This window comes from Homo sapiens, chromosome 11 (genome assembly GCF_000001405.40).
Source record: "Homo sapiens chromosome 11, GRCh38.p14 Primary Assembly".
Taxonomy (NCBI): domain Eukaryota; kingdom Metazoa; phylum Chordata; class Mammalia; order Primates; family Hominidae; genus Homo; species Homo sapiens.
The window spans coordinates 1,974,682-1,994,823 of NC_000011.10; the positions used below are offsets into that span (position 1 = coordinate 1,974,682).

At 63.7% G+C, this 20,142-nt stretch overlaps 1 protein-coding gene and 2 long non-coding RNA genes across 5 annotated transcripts in view, besides 5 other annotated features; 2 read left to right on the forward strand and 1 right to left on the reverse strand.

The window, feature by feature from the left end:
• Positions 1-20,142, forward strand: part of MRPL23 (mitochondrial ribosomal protein L23) — a 67,613-nt gene that overhangs the window by 27,350 nt on the left and 20,121 nt on the right. The window contains exon 6 of one of the 3 annotated variants that reach the window (NM_001400179.1): positions 9,757-11,694. The exons of the other annotated variants lie outside the window; for them this stretch is intronic. Within the exon in view, the coding sequence (NP_001387108.1) occupies positions 9,757-9,835 (79 nt within the window). The 3' untranslated portion in view covers positions 9,836-11,694. Of the gene's footprint in view, positions 1-9,756; positions 11,695-20,142 lie in introns of those variants that run through there. 3 annotated transcript variants of the gene reach the window in all.
• Positions 7,190-7,959: an enhancer, noted in NCBI's record as "H3K27ac-H3K4me1 hESC enhancer chr11:2003101-2003870 (GRCh37/hg19 assembly coordinates)". NCBI's record gives its function as "activates a minimal SCP1, AML or CMV promoter by ChIP-STARR-seq in naive H9 embryonic stem cells {active_cell/tissue: H9 hESC(naive)}" and the evidence as "EXISTENCE:reporter gene assay evidence [ECO:0000049][PMID:30033119]".
• On the reverse strand, positions 8,528-15,239 carry MRPL23-AS1 (MRPL23 antisense RNA 1). Its single transcript, NR_024471.1, has 4 exons — positions 15,145-15,239; positions 10,762-10,960; positions 10,169-10,301; positions 8,528-10,004 (listed from the first exon to the last, which is right to left on the reverse strand). It is a non-coding gene; the product is annotated as an MRPL23 antisense RNA 1 (long non-coding RNA).
• Positions 8,728-9,497: an enhancer, noted in NCBI's record as "H3K27ac-H3K4me1 hESC enhancer chr11:2004639-2005408 (GRCh37/hg19 assembly coordinates)". NCBI's record gives its function as "activates a minimal SCP1, AML or CMV promoter by ChIP-STARR-seq in naive H9 embryonic stem cells {active_cell/tissue: H9 hESC(naive)}" and the evidence as "EXISTENCE:reporter gene assay evidence [ECO:0000049][PMID:30033119]".
• Positions 12,209-13,063: an enhancer, noted in NCBI's record as "0.9 kb enhancer fragment". NCBI's record gives the evidence for it as "EXISTENCE:reporter gene assay evidence [ECO:0000049][PMID:10413100]".
• Positions 12,209-17,128: an enhancer, noted in NCBI's record as "5.0 kb enhancer fragment". NCBI's record gives the evidence for it as "EXISTENCE:reporter gene assay evidence [ECO:0000049][PMID:9720909, PMID:10413100]".
• Positions 13,058-17,128: an enhancer, noted in NCBI's record as "4.1 kb enhancer fragment". NCBI's record gives the evidence for it as "EXISTENCE:reporter gene assay evidence [ECO:0000049][PMID:10413100]".
• LINC01219 (long intergenic non-protein coding RNA 1219) lies at positions 16,415-18,788 on the forward strand. Its single transcript, NR_126400.1, has 3 exons — positions 16,415-16,578; positions 17,257-17,599; positions 18,574-18,788. It is a non-coding gene; the product is annotated as a long intergenic non-protein coding RNA 1219 (long non-coding RNA).

Here is a 20,142-nt window from a genome sequence, read left to right on the forward strand (position 1 = left end):
TCTCCTGGAAAGCCAAGGTGGGAGGTAGCATCTGGAATTAGATGCGGTTGAGGATGCTTCCTGACTGGGAGGGGGTTTTGCTCCTCCCTGGGACCACAGCAGGACATTTGAAGCACCAGGATCCCAGCGGGGGCCTGTGGGGAGGCATGGCCATTTCTAAATGAGGCTCTGGGTACCTGGTGGCCCATGGAGCGGGGCTCTGGGAATTGCCTCCTGCGAGCGGCCATTGGAGGGGGAGGTATTACCCCCACCGGTGTCCTCAGCCAGTCCCTCCTGGAGTCCTCAGAGCCCTCAACAGGCTCTCACCTGGCCCTCCGCTGCCAGGGCTGGACCAGAGGCTCTTCAGGAGCTTGTGCTCTTCCGCCCCCAGAGCTCCAGCCTGGACGCCTTGGAACTGGCCGTCCTGAGCTGGACAGCCAAGATGCGATGGTGGCTGTGCTGGGCTCCAGCCCATGGTGGCCTCCAAGGTGGTGCTGGGGCCTTAGGGGAAAGGGTTGCTTTTCATGGCTGGCTGAGGGGATGGCAGAGCTGTCCTCCGTTCCGCCTCCTTTACCCATGGATGCGGCCGCATGCGGGTCTCCATCATTGTCCTATCCTTGACCATCTGGCTAAGACTCAGGGACCCACAGCAGCCGCTCCCCCACTGGCTGTCTGGGAAAAGGCCCACATTGCCGGGCACACACCAGGGTGGCCAGGGATTGGTCACTGCCTGAATGTCCCCGGACCGATGCCCGTGTGCCCTTGGGCAGCCTTCCCCTCGGACAGGCTGTCCAGGCTGGGAAACCCTGAGCCAGAGGGATTAAGAAGAAAGGACAGAGTCGACTGTCCCCTTGGCTAATTTGTGCTTCATTTAGTGTAATTTTGCTCAGTGGTCAAAACATAGAGGTGATGACACCGAGGGTCCAGACATGTCCCATCTCCAGGGCCAACCTCCTGCAGATCCCCAGCCCCGCCCAGCCCTGCCTGCTGCGCCCTGGGCCTGCCTCTGCCCTCACAGCCATCCTGTACATTCCTGTGTCTCAGTGGCGGGGGATAGGGGGTGGGGGAAGGGTCTCCGATACACCAGGGGGTGCAGGGACCCTCAGCATGGGTGCCCAGGCAGCTCTCTATGGAAATGCAGGATTGGGTCAGGACCCCAGAGCTGTGCAGGGCCCTCTGTCCCCAGCCCAAGTCCTGAGTCCCTCTTGCCAGCCTCTGCTGCTCCGCGTGTGGTAGGAGCTACCAGTCTGGGGTCCGGGCTGGGCGCATTCATGATGCCTGCCTGGGGTCTGAGCAAATCCTCCCCACGGGGTCTGAGCAAGTCCTCCCCACGGGGTCTGAGCAAATCCTCCCCACGGGGTCTGAGCATGTCCTCCCCACGGGGTCTGAGCAAATCCTCCCCACGGGGTCTGAGCAAGTCCTCCCCATGGGGCCTGAGCAAATCCTCCCCACGGGGTCTGAGCATGTCCTCCCCACGGGGTCTGAGCAAATCCTCCCCACGGGGTCTGAGCAAATCCTCCCCATGGGGTCTGAGCAAATCCTTCCTATGCCGTCTGAGCAAGTCCTCCCCATGGGTTCTGAGCATGTCCTCCCCACAGGGTCTGAGCAAGTCCTCCCCACGGGGTCTGAGCAAGTCCTCCCCACGGGGTCTGAGCATGTCCTCCCCACGGGGTCTGAGCAAGTCCTCCCCACGGGGTCTGATCATGTCCTCCCCACGGGGTCTGAGCATGTCCTCTCCACGGGGTCTGAGCAAGTCCTCCCCATGGGGTCTGAGCATGTCCTCCCCACGGGGTCTGAGCAAGTCCTCCCCACGGGGTCTATGTCCTCCCCACGGGGTCTGAGCATGTCCTCCCCATGGGTTCTGAGCAAGTCCTCCCCATGGGGTCTGAGCAAGTCCTCCCCACGGGGTCTGAGCAAATCCTCCCCATGGGGTCTGAGCAAATCCTTCCTATGCCGTCTGAGCACATCCTCCCCAAGCTGTGACCGAGTGTCCCTCCTGCAGGTGGAGGATGTTGCTAGGATGCACCTTGAAGGCACCCCAGCCTCGCCGGAGCGCCCCCTCCTCGTAGCCTGGGGTGTGGCTGGGTGGTCTGGGGTCCTGGGTGCCTTGTGATGCTGGCCCCAGGGTCCACTCAGCACCGTCCTGGTGTCGTCATCAGCTGGAGGCTTCCCGGGGCCTGTGCTGGGGGTGGAGAGCAGGGAGAGGCAGCAGGGTTCTCCTCAGGGTGGGGTTGCTGGGAAGCACCATCCCACCTGTCAGACTGGCCTTGACTGTAGACACCCCAGGTGACCTGGAAGGACAGACGGACCCCAGGTGATGAGAAAGGACCAGAGTCTGACCTCTCACCCCTCCTAAGCTCTGAACTCCCGTTGGCTTGCCTGACCTCCAAGTCCTCCTGGGGCTGAACCCTCTACAGATGCCCCTCCTGGGCCCTGGGGTGGGCCCGGTTTAGCTCTCCATTGTGGCTGAAACCCCCAGGGCTTCAGTGCTGGCTTGAAGAGGGGGTGGGGCTCCCCAGGCGTGGGGATTGGCAGTTTTTTCCTCCCCTCTTCCCAAACTTTCAGACTGGACCACTTAAGAATAATGAGGTCCAGGTGGTTCCGCTTGAGCCTGGATCCTCACTGGCTGTGGGACTGAGCTTCCCCTGCCGGTCCCACCTCCCACCGGGAGCAGCTAATGACAGCCAGAGGCTGGAAGGTGAAGCTCCCCTCGGCTGTCAGGCGGGCCGCAGGGCAGGGGCTGGGCAGGCCAAGGGCGCCACTCTCCTGCCCAGGCCAGGGCACCCGATCACTGCACCACACCCCTTGTGGCCGTCTGTCCAGCCAGGGCCCTGCTGCAGGTGCTTCCCGTGGGACTGTAGGGAGAACAATCAAGACTTCTGCCTCCTTGGTCGAGCAGGGCTGCCTCCCCATCTCATCTACTGGCAAGGAGGCTGGGCACCTTCAGGGAGCTTCAGTTTGGGAAGAGGGAGGAGGTCTGAGGTGGATGGTGGCGATGGCTGCGCAGCAGTGAGAATGGACTGAGTGCCACTGATGTGTGTGCTCCATGGCTCCGTGGCTCCGTGGCTCCGTGGCTCAGTGGCTCAATGGCTATAATGGCTAGTTTTGTTACATATTTTCACCATAATAAAACAAAACATGTCCAAGGTGCTACAAGGAGGGAGGAGCCCCTGGAGCACCCGCCTGCCATCTCCCATCTGCCAGGCAGCATCCCTCCACTGGCTCTCTGGGAGGGGTTCCAGGCCTCCAGCCTCCCTGTGGCCCCCATCTGCCTCCAGGAGATTTGTTCCCTCTCTCCTGCCCCGAAACCCTCGAGGCAGCCCTGCTCTTGGTCACTGCAGAGGAAGTGGCCCAGGCTTGGCCCAGGCCAGCTGTGGCCTCTGGAGGCAAGATGTGGGGACTCACAGTGTTCGAAGGCCACACCCCCCCGAGCACATGGGCTCCAGTGCCTCTGAGGCAAAGAGCAGGCAGCACCGTGCGCACAGCAGTGGGAGACACAGCACAGCCACCAGGGCAGCCCCCAGGCAGACGGCGGGCCTAGAGAGGGCGGGATGACACAAGAAAGGTTCTCCTTTGGAGACGGCGAGGTCAGGCAGGTGGGAGAGGGTTCACGGTGCTTGAGGTGCAGAGAGAGGATGGTGGAATGGAAAACGTAGGGTGACTTGTCGGGGACAGGCCCAGGGCCACAACTCGGGCAGGCCTATTGCCCGAGTTTTGGGTCCCATCCTGGCAGGCAGGGGAGAGAATTCTGAATTTTTTAATGAAACGGATAGTTGAGGGCTGGAAAAAAGAAAAAGAAAAGAAAAGAAGTCCCGGCTCGGTGGCTCATACCTGTAATCTCAGCACTTTGGGAGGCCGAGGTGGGTGGATCACCAGAGGTCAGGAGTTCAAGACCAGCCTGACCAACATGGTGAAACCGTGTCTCTACAAAAAATACAAAACTAGCTGGGCGTAGTGGCGCATGTCTGTAATCCCAGCTACTCAGAGGCTGAGGCAGGAGAATCACTTGGACCCAGGAGGCGGAGGTTGCGGTGAGCCGAAATCGAGCCATTGCACTCCAGCCTGGGCAACCAGAGTGAAACTCTGTCTCAAAAAAAAAAAAAGAAAGAAAAAGGTATTGAAACTGGGTGCCAGATAGCTGCATGTCAGGGCCCTGAGGAGGAAGGGGTCAGAGTGGAGGGGGAGAAAGAGCAGGCTGGCCAGGTTGTGGGAGGCTTCCGGCGGGCGGCAGGTGGAGGAACAAAGGCAGGGCCTGGCGATGACGGCCTGAGGGCTAATTGCACAGCTTACTGCTCACCCATGCGGGAAGGCTGTGGCCCCGGGGACCCGCATGTCCTCCAGATCTTCACAACCGGCAATAAAGTGCTGGTTGCTGGTTGCGTAATCACTGACTGATTGAGACCTGCACAGGCGAGGAGATGATGGCTGTCCCTGGAGAGGAGAGGCCTGGGGCCTGCCATCCGGTCTTGCCTCATCACTCCCCACCAGGTGGAGAAGTCCCCGTTATCAGCAGCGAGCCTGCCTGCTGTTCCTAGTCCTCTGGAGCCTGGAGATCATCACTCCTCCTGGACCCAGAGACAGGCGTGGGAGAGGGCGTCACAGCCACCACTGTACGCACCTGGCCAGGGCTGCCCTCGGGCTCTGCCCATCTGTCCTCTCCTGCGTCAGAGCCACCACCTGGCAAACAGCCCCACTGAAGCCCCTTCCGGGAGGGCACCGAGCCCTGGGCAGCACCCCTCCCTCCCGGCAGGCCGGTCTGTGGGACGTGCAGGACGTGCTGCAGCCCAGGGGCTCTGTGGCACTGGCTCGGCCCTGTGCTGGTGCTCTGATGGGTAGGAATCTGGGCCGATACCTTGGTGCCCACACTGCAAGCCAGGTGGCCACAGCACGGCCCAGTGGGCATCCTCAGCACAGCCGGTGGCAGTGGGACTCAAGTGACTGCTGCTGGGGGTCCCATCTGATTCTTTCCAGGGCCAGAGATCAGGGGAGGATGTGGAGCGGGGCTGTGGTGGGGGCCCTGGGTGGCCTCCCCTCGCCACTTTCCCATGACGCCCCTGTAATCGGGGCTCTTACCCCTGGGTCCCCGGTACCTCACAGCTGCCTGGACGCAGCCCCACCCGTGCACAGGCCTGTGGGGAGGCCGCAGCAGTCCTTTCCCATGGCTGGGAGGGGGCCACGGGTGGGGGACAAGGAATTTGAGGAGGAAACAGCAGTGGCCTGAGAATTTAGAAAATGCATCCAACTGCTTGGACTCTTGGGAAGAAGCTGGCAGGAGGATTAGGAGAAGTGGAGGATGATTGCATGGTCCTGGGTGGGCCGTGACTGATGGGGCAGCCGGGGTCTCCAGCATGGGGAGGGGAGCCTTGTCTGTGCCGGGCGAGCAGCTGTCCCCATCCCTCAGCCTGTGTCCCGCTCGCCTCGGCTGCTAACCAGAGACCTCTGATCCCCGGCTGGAGGTGGGAGCGATTCTGGCCCTAGAGCCCCCCCACCTTGCCTGGTGACAGAGACATGGGCCCCTGTGCTGAGCCTGCCATCCTCATCTGCAAAACGGGGTTTGGGAACATGTGTGGAGTGGGTGGGGGACCTTGGAAGCCACCAGTTGCTCCTAGAATCCACAGGCCACGTCTTGCGTCTCAGACCAGCTCCACCTCCTCTGCCCGCCACCCACCTCTGCGGGTCCCGAGTCTCTCCATCCAGTGAAGGAGAGGGCTGAGAGCAGGGGCGTACGTGCCACGAGGGTGTCCACCTGGGAGGGACAGTGCGGCCCCGGGAGCCCTCTGGAGCACAGCTGCCCTGCCTCGGGGCTGGAGCTGGCTGTTAGGTCTGCACAGGCTCCTGGGCCAAGCTTCCTGACTGATCCTGGGGGTAGTCACACAGTTCATCACGGGCATGGGCCTGGGGGAGATGAGCAGCTGTTCCCCACACCGCCCCTCAGTCATGCCCTGCCCAACGGTGGACAGCTTTGCCCCACTTGGCCGGACTGGCCCCTTCTGGCCTTAACTCCTTAACTCTCCCGTGGTTTTCTACCCCTGTCCTGGGGTCCCTGGGCCTAGAGAGATGGCCACCCCTCCCCGTGGACCTAGGAGAGCCCCCAGGGCTCCACTGGCGTTAGGTAAATGGAATCGTGTCCTGGCAGTCCTGTCCCTACCCCAGTGCCCAGTGGAGGCATAACTGGGGATAATGCGATTACAGCTGCTCCCACCAGGGTGATCTGCAGCAGAAGCAGAAAATCACTCCGGCCATGCTCCAGTGGGGACAGGAAGGCTCACCAAGCCCCTGTCCGCCTGGGAAGCTGGGCAATGTGGGTGCAGCTGCTCCATTGGGTAGGGCTGCTGGGCCCCCGGGGGCAAATCGTGAGTTGGATTTCAACCAGGAAAGCAGGTCTTGATGGGGCAGGCAGAGGGGGTGTGGAGTGGCCCCACGGATATCGTTGCCTCGACCCTTGGCTCCTGGCGTTTGCTCAGCTAACTTTGCAGACGAGACGCTGTGTGCAGAGAGACACAGGCGATAAGGATGGGGTCGTTGGCTTCAGGGCACCCCCCAACCCGTGGCCTTCACTGGCCTCATCCCTGTGCCCCCACCGGCCCAGGCTCTGCTCCCTCCATGCCATTGTTTCACTCCTTCTGGAACCTTCTGTGCCTGTGCAATGTGGCCATGCCCTTGTTTTTCCACCATTTAAGAGCTTTCTACACCCACCGAGGAGAGGGGCAGGCATGGCTGTGTGGTGGCCCCCTGGGGCTCCCGCAGCCGCCTCGACCCCTCAGCCTCCTCTGTGGGGTGTAGAAGAGTTCTCTGCACAGGTCCTCAGCTCGGGCAGCCCTGGAAGTGCTGGGCCTTCAGGCACAGGGGAGGGTGGCTCAGGGGCCAGCAGCAGACGTTGGTGCCTGCCCCTGCAGCGGGGTGCCCCATGCTGAGACAGTGCGCAAGAGGGACACTCCGGGCCTCGGTCCGCCCTCCGTGTGGCAAATGAGGTGCTCGGCGGGGCTTCTTAACTCTTCAACCTGGCCTTCCCACGGGTCCCTCTGGACAAGGGATGGCGGGGCGCAGGGGAAGCTGATTCCCAGCCCCACCCCAGCCCGTAGCAGAGTGGTCGTAAGCGTGGGAAATGCCAGCTCCATGCCTCTGCTCCACTATGTTTAACTCAACACAAGGAGCTTCCTGGGCCTTCAATGTCCCAGGACCCACGGCCTTTAGTGATTTGTGGTCTGGGAGACAGGAAGCCGGAGCTCTGGGGCCGAGCTGCAGCCCCTCTCCCTCTGCAGCGCATCCTTGCTCTGAGGGTGGCAGAGGCAGGTCTAGGCCTTGGGGACCTGGGGCCGGGGCCCCCAAGGGGAAGGGAAGGGACCCGTGGGGAGCCCAGGGTGAAGAGTTAAGAAGCCCCGCCAAGCACCTCATTTGCCACATGGAGGGTGGACCGAGGCCCGGAGTGTCCCCCGTGTGTGCTGTCTCAGCATGGGGCACCCCGCTGCAGGGGCAGGCACCAACGTCTGCCGTTGGCCCCTGAGCCGCCCTCCCCTGTGCCTGAAGGGGCGGAGCACCTGCGCAGAGAATTCTTCTGATATCCCGCCCATGGGGAGTTGGTGATGGGACCCCCAGGAGAGGGACTGCGGGGGTGTCCCTGCGCCTTCGGGTGGTCAATGCTGGTGAAGTTCGGCACCCAACTGTGAGCAAAGGAGAGGCCCTTTCCAGGAAGCCCCAGGGGCACTCCAGGGTCGGGAAGGGGCCACAGGGGTCTGGCGAAAGCATGAGGCAAGATTTGGAAACGAGGCTCCAGGGCAGGGTCAGGGCCAGGGTCAGGGGCAGCCCTAGGATGGCTCTGCTGCCACCCAATCAGAGTCTCCTGCCCAGCTCCTGGGCTGTGGGCGGGGGTCGCACAAAGGACCATGGGCAGCCAGGTAGGAACAAGGGTCACCAGGCACTTGGCAGGGGACCGGCCTCTGGGAAATCATCCAGGCCAGGGGCCATGGAGCCGGCTTTCCCCAAGCCCCAGGGACCCAGCCTCTGCCGGGAGGGTCTGGGGGATCAGGGGGCTGAGGACCCTCCACACAGGCTGTGTGGGGCAGGGGCTCGGGCTGGCCCTGCTGAGCTTGGGTGGCTGGAGTCCTCGAGGAGGGCTCCCTGGAGGCAGGGGCGCGGAGAGAGCTGGGGCGGGCCAAGGCAGCCAGCAGCCCACGGCAGGCGGGGGGCCTGACCCGAGCAGCGGCGTTAGGGCTGGCCTGGGGCGCAGCGTGCGCACGGGAGCGCGTGTCTGCTGGACTCCAGCGAGGTGCTGTAGCCAGCTAGCCAAGACAAGCTGTCCCTGCGGGTGTCTGACCGGCGGGGCCCAGGCTGGGGGGGTGGTGGCGGCACCCCACTGGGGACACAGTGAGGCCCGGAACAGAGCCCAGAGCCTGGCTGCCGCGCTCCAACCACAATGGCCGGTGCCTCCCCAGGCTGTACCTCTGGGCCCTGCTCCCACCAGGGCCCTGCCCCCACCAGGGGCTGTGCAGGGTCTGGGAAGGGCACAGCTGTTTGCCTCCCCACATTCCAGACACAGGGTCAAGCAGTGTGGGAGGCTGTTTTTCTTTACAAATGTCATCTGAAAACAAACACTTACTGGCTCTGCCCGGCTGCCCCGACCCCTTGGAGAGTGGGGGCAGGGACCAGGCCTGGCTACCCCCGTCCAGGTGGCTGGGGACTCTTCCAGGCCAGAGTGGCCTTTGACCCTCCTTCGCTGCCCCTGCCACACCAACCAGGCCAGTGTCTTCCCTAGCCAGAAGGCTCTGGCCCCACCCCATTTGCCACCTAGAACTGGGGAAGGACGCACCTGGCCCGGCCAGCGGCCCATGAAGCCGTCTTTCTCCCACGGGCCGTCCCTGGCTCGACCCTGTGCCCAGGGCAGGGTCAGGCCCAGTGGGTCTCTCTGTGGAGGGAGGGGCTGCCTGGGGTATCTGGGGGTGGTGAGGGGGTGTCCCAGCCCCAGCCCTTCCCCAGGCCTCATGTGGGCACCACCCCTCGTTTACGGGCTCTGGGAGCGGGTGGGGCCCCTCCTCCTCCTGAGCTGTAAGGTTTTTCTTCCAGTGGGGTTTGCACAAGGGTCCACGCCCACAGCCTCAGCCCGGAACCTGAAGGCTCTGAGGCTTCCTAGGGGGTTCTGCGGCCTTGCACTGTGGGTCCTCCCAGCTCGGCAGCCCTCTGCTGAGGCAATGTCCTCTTGGAGCAAAAAACAGCCTCCGCACCATTCCTCCCAGGGTGCATCTGAGCCCAGGCCCCAGGACACTATCCCCGGGGGTCCAAGGCGGGTGGGGACCGCCCTCCCGACGAAGCTTCTTTGCGCCCTGCTCACTCTCCTCAGCCCCCAGGTGCACTGGGGGATCCTGCAGGAAGCCTGCGGGCGGGGACTGGGGGGTGTGTTTGGGGCAGCGGTGTCTAGACCCTGGCCTGCCTGAGGGCCGGGAGCTTGGACTTCAGGCCTCAGGAGTCAGGAGAGGGCCACCACGCTCCCTTCCCCTCGCCACAGTGGTCCCAGGCGGGAGGGAGCGGACACGGGCTTTGCGGCACAACCTGGTCCTTGTTCTCTGGCTGGGCTAGGGTCACCTGGAGCTGGTGCCCGTGATATCCGCCTGACGCGGAAGTGGGCACCGTTTTCTGGATGCTCCCTTACTTTCTCAGCGCTGTGTGGAGGGGGAATGCCCCGTGCTTCTCACCCTGTCTTCGCCTGTCCCCACCCCAAGCTCCACTGGGCGGGGAGGAGAGGGGCACCTCCATAGGACTCAGCTATCCCCCCAACTCCCACAGGAACCTCAGGCCCAGAGTCCCCAGGAGGGAGCAGCCGGCAACACGGTTTCCGCTGTGGAGACGGGGCGTCCTGGCTTGAGTTCACTCCTCTCCAGGTGGAGCTGCCGCCGTGAGACCAAGGCCAGGCCCCCCTCGGGCCCCAGGGCTCCGAGGCACTTCCTTGGGTTGGTGTGCTGGATGGAAGTAGGGCTGTATTTCCTAAGACCTGCGGGGCAGACCTGGCCTCTGGAGGTGAGAATTTGCTGGGCCTGTTATGGGTGAAAGAGGAAAACCAGCCTGTGGGGGGCATCTCACAGTCCCCTCTGTCCCTCAGGTAGGATGCGTGGGGCGTGGTGGAGCCACGGGGTAGGGGAACGGGGACCCCCTCAGGTGTGTGGGGGCTGGGAGGTGGGTGCAAGGCCCCCCGTCTCACCGAGAAGGGACTTGGAGAGTGAGATGGTGTCTGAGTTAGGATGGCAGGCTCAGCTGACCTCGTCCCAGAGGCACTCAGCAAGGGCCAGGGACGGCATCCCCGCCGGGCACATGGCAGTTCATCCTCAGAGACACTGTGTATGGGAGGGAGGAGAAGCCCACACCTCTCTGAGGCAAACTTCAGGACGGCCAGGGGCCCCTGAGCACCCCGCCCACCTTTCTCCCGGCGCCCATGTGGGGCGATGCTCTCTGCCCTCCTTTGAGCTCTGCAGTATCCTGGGACGTTGGGCCCTCTGTCCTGCTTGCTCTGTCTGTGCTGGGGAGTGGGCAGGAGTGGACAGAGATCCGCCCTTCTCCAAGAGTCCCAGCCGTGGGAGGCTTCACCTTCCAGAAGGTTCCTCCTGTTTCTCTGTGCCTACTACGAGGCTCATCCTCACACCTGAGGACTGTCTCCTTGCTGGTAGGCTCACCGCGTGGAGGAAAGGGGGCCTCTGGTCACCTTCCCCACAAGCACAGACACGCAGTGTCACAGGGCAGTTGAGACTGTGTTACTGAGCCCAGCGGACAACCTGGGAACACATCCTGGTGTATCACCTTACTGGCTGCAGGAGCTCAGGGACAGCCGTAATCACTCTGTGCCTCAGTTTCCTCGTCTGTAGAACGGGACCAGTTTGCATGAGGCTCCCGGGCAGAGCCTGGAACCCGTGAACCCAAGAGCAGTCGTCATCAGGCCAACGTGCACTCGAGCAGAGATGTCTCCCCAAGTCCAGCTTGCTTCATATCCCCTGCAGTTCTGGTGGTGGGAACCCAGAAGTCAGAACACATCTACCTCCTGGCAGCTGGAGGCCACAGCGCCCCGAGTTTGGGACATGCCCCTCTCTGCATGTCCGTGCCAATTCCTCAAGGCTATCGGCCAGCCCCTCCCACTCAAGGCACCCCATGGAGCCTCCTGGGAGATCTTCAGACCCAGGGCAGGTGGGGGCTGGATCTGCCCTTCCTTCGGTGCCCCAGGTCTGTTATGGGCACGGGCTGTGAGCTGGTGCCAAGGACAGAGGCATCAGGCCAGGCCAAACTGCTGCACACAGCTGGCCACGGGGCCGTTGATCGCAGACAGTCAGGCTTCAGGCTGTCTGACACGGGCCGTCTGCTCCTCCTTGGACAGTTGCAGCACTCAAATGTTAAAACAATTTTTTAAAATAAATTTTTCTACTTTTTTTTTTTTTTGAGACAGGGTGTCACTCTCTTGCCCAGGCTGGAGTGCAGTGGTATGATCATGGCTTGCTGCAGCCTCAACCTCCTGGGCTCACGTGATCCTCTCACCTCAGTCTCCCACATAGCTGGGAATACAGGTGCGCGCCGCCGCACCTGGCTGATATTTGGTAGAGATGGGGTCTCACTATGTTGCCCAGGCTGGTCTCCAACTCCTGGACTCAAGCAATCTGCCCACCTTGGCCTTCTAAAATACTGAGATTACAGGTGTGAGCCACCACACCTGGCCCCAAATAAAACAATTTAAAAAGGAAAAAAGTGTGTGTGTGGCAGGAAGAGGAGGGTGAGGCCCGGAAGGAACTGAAGGAAACAAACTCAAGGAGAACAGCTGGTCCCCACGCCAGCGTCGACGCTCCAAGTCCTTCACCTCGGAGCCGAGCAGGGGCTGGGGGCACGGGGAGCTTGTGGCCTTTCTGGTGAAGTGACTCTTTTCTGGAACTTTCCAAACACCCTCCCCGCCCCCCGCCATGCCCCCCACCGCCTTTCCTTCCTTCTTTCTCACCCGCTTCCTTATTCCTTACTGTTCATCACAGACAAAGTTCCTGGGTAGGAGTGCGGGCAACTGCCGTTTGGGATCCATGGGGGCCTCCCGCCATTGGGCAGCCCCTCTCCCTGGCTTGTGGGGAGGCTCAGGTGAGCCCAGGTCTCCCTCTCCCACCGCATGGGAGTGCAGGATCCACAGGCTGATGGCTGTTTGCCAAAGGATGGGGACATTGGGGCACAGCACGGGGACACTTACTCAGCAGACAGCACCCTGACTGGCAAGATTGAAGAGCTCCCCTTCCTTGCTAAGACTCCCATGAAACACACAGGGGGCTGCTCAGGGGGTGCAGGCGGCAGGAGCGGGGACAGCTCAGAGGTGGGTGTGGCACAGGGTTCATGGCATAAGAGGGGTGGCCTCGGGAGCCAGGGCGGGGGCAGCCTGGAGCCAGCAGCCCTGAGGCCATGCACATCCACAGCATGCTGGCGGTGACAGCCCCGACCCGTGGCAGGGGAGCAGGCTCTGGGCTTGTCTGACCCGTGAGCACCCAGTGGCCTGGTGGCCTCAGCCCTCGTTGCCAGCCTCTTTCTAAGGTCAAGCCTGTGCTCTCCAGCCAGAGAAGGCATGCTGGGCTGGGCTGGGCTGGGGTGGGCAGGGCTGAGCTGGGCAGGGCAGGGCAGGGCTGGGCTGGGCAGGGCTGGGCAGGGCAGGGCAGGGCTGAGCTGGGTAGGGCAGGGATGAGCTGGGCTGGGCAGGGCTGGGAAGGTCAGGGCTGGGAAGGGCAGGGCAGGGCAGGGCAGGGCTGGGCTGGGCTGGGCTGGGCAGGGCAGGACAGGGCTGGGCTGGGTAGGGCAGGGATGAGCTGGGCTGGGCAGGGCTGGGAAGGGCAGGGCTGGGCTGGACTGGGCTGGACTGGGCAGGGCTGGGCAGGGCCGGGTGGAGTGGGCGATGGTGTCCATCCCGCTTAGTGGCTTCCTCTCACAGGAAGTCTGACCACCCTTCAATGCTGGGGGTCTAGGCTGGGCAGGTGGACGTGGGGGTCCATTTCTAGGCTCTAGACCCAAGGCCTTCCTGCTGCTCAGAGGTTCCTAGGCTCAGCAGAGAGGGCGGGGACAGAAGGTCCGAAATTCCATGTCCTTGGGATCCCATCTGCCCGTCCTTCCCGCCCAGCCCAGCCCAGTCTGTCTGCTCCCCAGCCTCCCACGCCCCCCATTGGCGTGCATGAGTGACATGCGTGTCCCGCACACCCTCGGTCCTGTTGTCCATCTCCCCCATCGCCCGCACACCCTCGGTCCTGTTGTCCATCTCCCCCATCGCCCGCACACCCTCGGTCCTGTTGTCCATCTCCCCCGTCGCCCGCCACCCACGCCGTCCCCACTGCCTTAGGCTGGCTGCCCCTTTGGACAGGGGCTTTGTCTACCCAAGTCACAGGACACGTGAAATTCAGCCTTAATTAAGTTGTTGGGTGATGGAGTCCCAGATGTGGGAGGCTCAGCCAGACCCTCTTGGGCTGCCCACCCGGAGAGCGACTGGGGCTGAGAGCCTCGCCTGGGGCCACTGTGCAGCTGCCGCCTCCCGCCTCCCACCTCCCGCAAAGGCCTGGGAGTGGGGCCCAAGGCAGCTGCAGCCCCACAGCCTGGCCTTGACCCTGGGCTGCCCCACAGCCCCCCTGCTGGCTCCGTGCCCACTGGGAAAACAAGCTCCTTATCTCGAATGCTTCCTGTGAACTGCAAACAGCCACGTGTCCCTTGGGAGCCACTCTTGATGAACGTGCCCTCTGTCCCACGACCCAGGGTGAGGCCGTTCACCCTCGGGCTGGGGGCCACCGGGACTGGAGGCTCTAGGCCTGGAATGAGGGGAGGGGACCTGCGGCAGGGCAGAGCCAGGCTGGAGACCACTGCATTGGGAGGGTGAGGAGGGAGAGGAGGGGGCAGGAGGGTTTGGGTCCAAGGCCTGGTTGCACAGGACAGCTGGGGATGGGGGAGAGGGGCACAGGCCAGAAAGGCTGGGGCTGCGGGGGCTAGCTAAGAGGCGAGGGTTCTGGGTGGCAGCAGCAGGCAGGGACCTTCCCGGCGGCCCCAGTGGCTCCCTCCCTCCCAGAACCCTTTCTCCTTCCTTGGGCCTAGAGCTTCCTCCACGTACTTTTCCCCGCCCCCGCCTTTCCCCTCTCTCTCACCCCGCTCAAACATGCTGTGACCTTTCCAGGGCCCCTGGACATCACTCACTGGGTGACAGAGGTTGACAGGCATGGAGCTAAGGAATGGGAGGCAGGGCGGGGGCGGCCAAGCCTCTCCAGCCGCTCCCTTCCCGCTTGCCCCACAGACGGGCCTCCCTGGATGGTCCTGGGTCAGCACACACGCTCCCAGGCGCTTCCTTCCCCAGGAGACAGTCCCCAGCCCCTGGCGGCCCAGATCCTCCTGCTCAGGCCGACGCATCCCACCTGGGCCCCAGAAACCTCTTTGGAAAGGGACAGTCACCTCAGAGTGGCAAGCACTTAAAAGAGACCCCCAACAGGCCGGTGTGTCGTGGTGGCAGGCAGGGTGTGTCTGGAGAGAAGGGGGACGTGTCCCCAGCTGGGCCTGGGGGCGGCTCCGTGGGAAAGTCCCACCTGGTCCCAGCCCCGGGTCTCCAGCCTTCAGACTCCTTGGGGGTCTCTGTGGCCTGGCAGAGGTCGGTGGCCCCTCAGTGGAGGTGAGGCCTCTCCTGGGTCACCACCGCACACCGGCCTGCTGGGAAGCTGGGGTTCTGGGCCACAGCCGGCCCTGGACGTGGAGGGGGGCATCAGGCCAGACCCCCCAGGGGCTCACAGGGCTCTGGGAGGCCCTGGCAACCCCAGGGTGCCCCCAAGCCCTCAGAAGGGTTGTCCCTACTTGGAGGGGACCACACAGCCAGGTGGGCAGGAACAGGCACCACGGCGGCCCTTCCCTGTCCACCCTCTCACCAGTGGCCCGCAGTGCAGTCCAGGAAGCACCGGACAGAGCACGGGGCAGGGAGGGGAGGCCCGTACTGGCTTCACAGAGGTCTGGGAGGGGCTAGCCCCTGTGCAGACAGACCCCTGAAGCCTAGAGCCGCCGGCCCAGCTGAGGTCCTTCCCAGGGGCCATTCTGGGACCCCTGACCCCATGCACCTGTGTCACAGGGCTATGAGCGCCCCCAGCCCCAGGACCTCCACGTTTCTCTCTAGAGGGAAGAGGAGGAGGACGGCAGGCCTGCTGGCCCCACACTTACTGGTTGGGGACGCTCAGAGGGGGCAGCCGCCATGCCGGGAAGTTAGGGTGGGCAGAGGAGCAGCGGTGCCAGGACCCCCAGGCCATGCTGCCACCCCGGACCCTGAACAGTGGGCTAGTGTGTGGGCCTGGGGAGTGAGGGCCCAGGCCGGGCTGGGTCTCGCTCCATAAACCCTGGCTGGCCGGAGCTGCAGACATCACTGTTGACACAGGGGTGATGTCACTGCCGGCCAATGGGGAGACCCTCGGGGGCCCTACGTGTGCCTCTCTGTGCTCCCAGGGCCCCCGCCACGCACGCCGCCTGCTCTGAATGCTGCCTGCATAAACCGGTTTTTCTAAATGTCTTTGGGGCCCTGCTTGCCCCCTGGGCCCCATCTCCTGCTCATCCCACCCCACCCTTGGGCCCAGCCTATGAGCCAAGCGGGAGTGGGGAGTGGCGGAGAGCCCTGGGCCTGCCCGCTCCCACAGGCATGTGGGCCCCAGAGCCCTGACCCCTGCACCTTCACCTCGCCAGCCTCTCTCCCATCTGCCACGACCCCAGCTGCCACCATGGCTCCCCACAGTCACCCCTGGGCCGTCTCTTCCTCCTGTCGGGAGAATGTTCCTCCTGGGAGAGCCTGAGGCCCCCTCTCTGCTCCTTGCTCCCCCGTCTGTCTCCCCTGCCCTGCCTTGCAGCCCTGCCCTGGGTCCATATGCTCAGAGCTGGCTACATATCCTGTGGCTGCCCATGACACATAGCTCCCCCAGGCAGGGCCGGACCCCGGGCACCTCTTTGCCTCCAGGGCCGGCCCCACTCTGTTGGAGGTCAGCCGGTTCCGAGGCCTCCAAGCCGCCTTTCTACTTCTCGATTCCAGGGCCTGGTCTCCACTCCCTCTGGGCTTTGGGGTGCATGCTGCAGTGCAGCCTCCCCGCGCCCCGGCCTCCATGCACCCTGCTCGTGCTGCCTCAGAGGCTTGGCATCTCCCCCATCTTCCAGCCAGGCAGCCAGTTTTCTGCAACGTGGGGCCCACGGTCAGCGTCCCCCACAGCCCTGCCAGCCCTTCTCCCCGGGGGTCCGCCCTGCACCCCCTTCCCAGGAGCTTGCTCTGCACCCACTGCTGGGCCTCCTGGCCTAGGGGCTTGGCACGTGCCTGTGAGCAGAGGCGCTGGGCAGGAGGAGGAGGAGGAGCCTGCAGTGCCTGGCGCCCGTGTGTGTTTACTGGTCCGGCCCCAGCCCCGCGCCGCTCCCCGCGGACCCGGCCTCCCGCCTGTGTCCAGCCAGGTGTTGGGTGATGGAGCGGGGCTCCCTAAGGACAAGGAGCACAGTGTCTGCTTTCTTTGCAAGCACAGTGCTGACAAGGAACAGAATACCCACAGCGACTGCTTCCAGGAAACGGCTGCAGGGCGGGCGGGAGCCTCTGCGAGAGCAGCCCCTTCCCAGCAAGCCGGCCTGCAGGTGGGCTTCCAGGAAGGGGCCCCCGCTGGCTTCCCTCAGCCCTGGAAGGGGGCCAACGGTGTCACCAGGAGCAGGCCAGGGAGCGGGGTAGAGGGGGGAGAAAGAGAAAGGAGAGGCGCGGAGGAGGGAAGGAGGGACGGGGCGCAGGCCTATGCTATGCCTAGTGTGGTTACCACAGCCTTAAGGGAGAGCAAGGCTGACCACAGCTCCTTCTCGAACCTTCCAATCCCCCTTTTGAGAAGTCACAAGATCTCCACTCAGGTCTTTGGCTCTCTGGGGCTTGTCAGGCATCACACACACACACACACACACACACACACACACACACACCCGTGCACACCCATCTGAAAACACAAGCAAGCTGGGCCACTGGGGGAGACCATTCCCTGAGACCCAGCCGGGGTCCAGGTTGAGGGGCTGACCTCCTGGCCCCCATGTTGGGAGGGCCGAGGAGGGCCCCCGCCCGGACCCACTGCGCCCTTGGCTCTGAGTGCTCAGATCCCACCCCCATCTCTAGAGAGGAGGAAATCATTTATCTTCCTGGGAGCTCGGGGTCGGGGAGAGGGGGCTGCCCTCCTTGAGTCCCCGACTGTTTTCTTTGAGACTTCCCAGGGTGCATTGTAGTCAGACCCAAAACATCGCTTTGTCCCTGTTGAAGGGACTTCACTTCCTTCGTAGAGTTGGGATTTTCTGTCTCCATTCGGTGGTATACCAAGTGCCTGCCTCCCACACCCAGCTGCCCCTAATCCCTGCCTGAAAACGTGCTCCTGGGTCACGGAATTCATGCTGAGACACAGCCACACACAGCCAGGCTCAGGGGTCCACCCTCCAGGGAACACCACCCCGCTACAGGGCCACGATCACACACACACCCCGCGGAGCATCTCCGGGCCGGACAGGACCCACGCCCTCCACAGCCCGGAAAGGCGGGTTAACTGGTCAGCATGCAGAGACCCACCAAGTGGAGACCCCGCTCCCAGGCACAGACGCACAGCTGTGGATGCACGTCCTCGGTGACAAGGTAGCTGAGGTCGCGTGCCCCGGGTGTGTACGGCCCACAGAGCCACAGGGGACTCGCCAGGAGATGCGTGCACCGAGGGTCCAGCGTGGCCACAGCAGCAGCACGCGCCTCAAGTCCTCTTCTCTAACTGGATGACTTGGTCTTCACTCAACCTAAACGTGCCGCAGAAACTTGGGTGGGTGGAGGGTCTGGGTGTGAAGACCTCGGTGCCTAACAGGGTCTGGGACGTGGCCAGAAGCCAGGGCACCCTCAGGGTCTCCCTGAACGGTGGAAGTTCCTCCCTCCCCAGATTTCCTGGCACCTTTGCAGGCAGCCACAACCCTCACCCCGGCCCCGCCACCCCCATGTTGGGGTTTGGGAGTGAAATTCCAGCCCGTTTGCTTCTCCGCACTGAAGTCAGTGCAGGGGCGTTTTCAAAGTGCCTTTGGGTGTTGGGGTGCCTGGAGCCTGTCTAACAACCCTCTCTAAGCCCCTTTTCTAAAAAGCAGGAAATCGGGTTGGGCCAAAGATAAACACACATTCCAACCTGGCAGGTCGCTCAGAGCTAGGGGCTCGGGCGGGCTCCCAGCCCCCGCCCCGGGGTGCGGCAGGAGGCTCCGAGGCTGAGCACCTGCTGCGGGGCCCCCGGGCCTGTGGCTCCCCGCCTGCCCGCCTCACCCTGAGGTTCAGCCCCCTGAACGCTGCCCCCACCACCTCCCTGTTTCAGGGCCTGTGGCCCAGACCCCCTCCAGCACTCAGGGGCTGCCCTAGGGACACCACCCCAGGAACTGCCCTAGGAAGCCCGTTCCGCTGCAGGGAGCAGAGAAACCTGGGCTGCCCAGAGGTAGGCGCTGCCCCTGAGTACACGTCCTGCTCTCAGGGGGCAGCCAGCGTGGGCACAGCCATGGGCAGTGCTGGGAGATGGTGGGGGCCACCAAGAGGCCTGTGTCCCTTCCCCAGCGGGTGTGAGGAGGAACAGCCCTGTCCCCATACAGCTCCCAGGTGGAAACTCCAGAGCAAGCGTGTCATTCATACACCCCGGGCCCAGAGATGTGGACGTGTCCAGCACGCCTGTTCTCTCCAAGTGACCAGGAGGAGACAATCCCTAGGAGCTGACACAGGTGACGAAGGCCCGAGGTGGCCCGCCTTTTCCCCCGGCCCCATTCCCATGTGTCCTTCCCCAGGCAGGGATTTGAAGTGGGCAGAGTCTTCCATGTTCTCCAGGAGAGGTTTTCTGGGTGCCCCTCTCCCCCTCCCTACGGTTCCCCTGCCCCGCCACCCTGGGCACCCCTGGGGCTGCCTGCCGCACCCTGCAGCCGCCACCTGGGGAAGCCGGCTTTTATCTCCTGAGCCCTGCTTTGTAAACCTCCTGCAGAGTTGGATGTTTATAATAAAGGCCGTTTATAGACCTAACTCTTGACATGTAATGGATGGGTTACTTCATCCTGCCGGCCAAAACCCACTTGGGTAAGTCAAATTGGCCTGTAGGGTCAGGAAGATGAATGCGGCCTCACCCTGGGCTGGCCCCAGCGACCTCTGACCTCCTCCATGAGATGGCAGCCAGTCCCAGGGGCACCATCCCAGAGACTTCAAGAGACTCCCTCACCGGATGTCTACATGCATCCTGGGGGGTGACCACCCGCCCAGGTTTTAGCACACAAGTGTGTCCCTGGAAACCCCTCGGTCTCTGACAGTCCCCAGGGCCCACAGCTGGATGGGGAGGGGGCAAGAGAGGGTGCAGAGGGGAGGCCAGACCCAAGGGACGTGGGGAACCACCCTGCTCTTCCGCCCTGGACACCAAGACCCCAAGGGCGGCTGGGCCGGTAGGGGAGGGGCGTCCCTAACCGCCTTCCTGTCTGTTCTTTGTCAGTCGGGGAGGAATTTTCCTGACAGCTCTGTGCACTGGGAATGGGGGTGGAAGGCAGGGGGGAGGGGGGAAGGAATGGGGAGGCCGGGACCCCACCCTTATTTCCAGGGGCTGCCCCTTGTGTTCCCAGCGCCTGCACAGCGAGGGGCCGGGAGCTGGGAGGCCTGGCTGAGGGAGCTGCCGGCCACTGGCCTCTGCGGGGAAGCTGACCCGGAACCCATGAGTGGGCTGCCTTGGCACCTGGGGAGCGAACCCCTGCATACCGGGGTTCTTGGAGCTCCAGCAGCAAGACCCCGGGGAGGGAGCCCGGGAGCCCCTCACCCTGGGCCCTCCCGCTCCTCCTCACCTCCTCCCTGTGGCCACCCTCAACTTCTTCCTCCCTCCTCCTGGTCCCCTGGCCTCCTTAGGACCTCTGCCCCAAGGCCACCTGCCCACTGAGAAGCCCACCGGCTCCCCCACAACCCCCTGGCTCCTTGTGCGGGGCCGTCCCTCCGGCGTGGCCCCGGCTCCCACCCACAGCAAAAGGGGAGCAGGAACGGGACTGGCGCGGGGTTCGTGCCCCTGTCGGGGTGGGGTCGCCCAGAGCACCTTGTGGGCCTCCCAGAGCGGCCATGGCCAGCTCTACCCCAGTCACCTAGCCCGGGCTTCAGGGGTCTGGGGCCAGCACCAAGGCGTCATTCTGATGGGACTTTGGGGC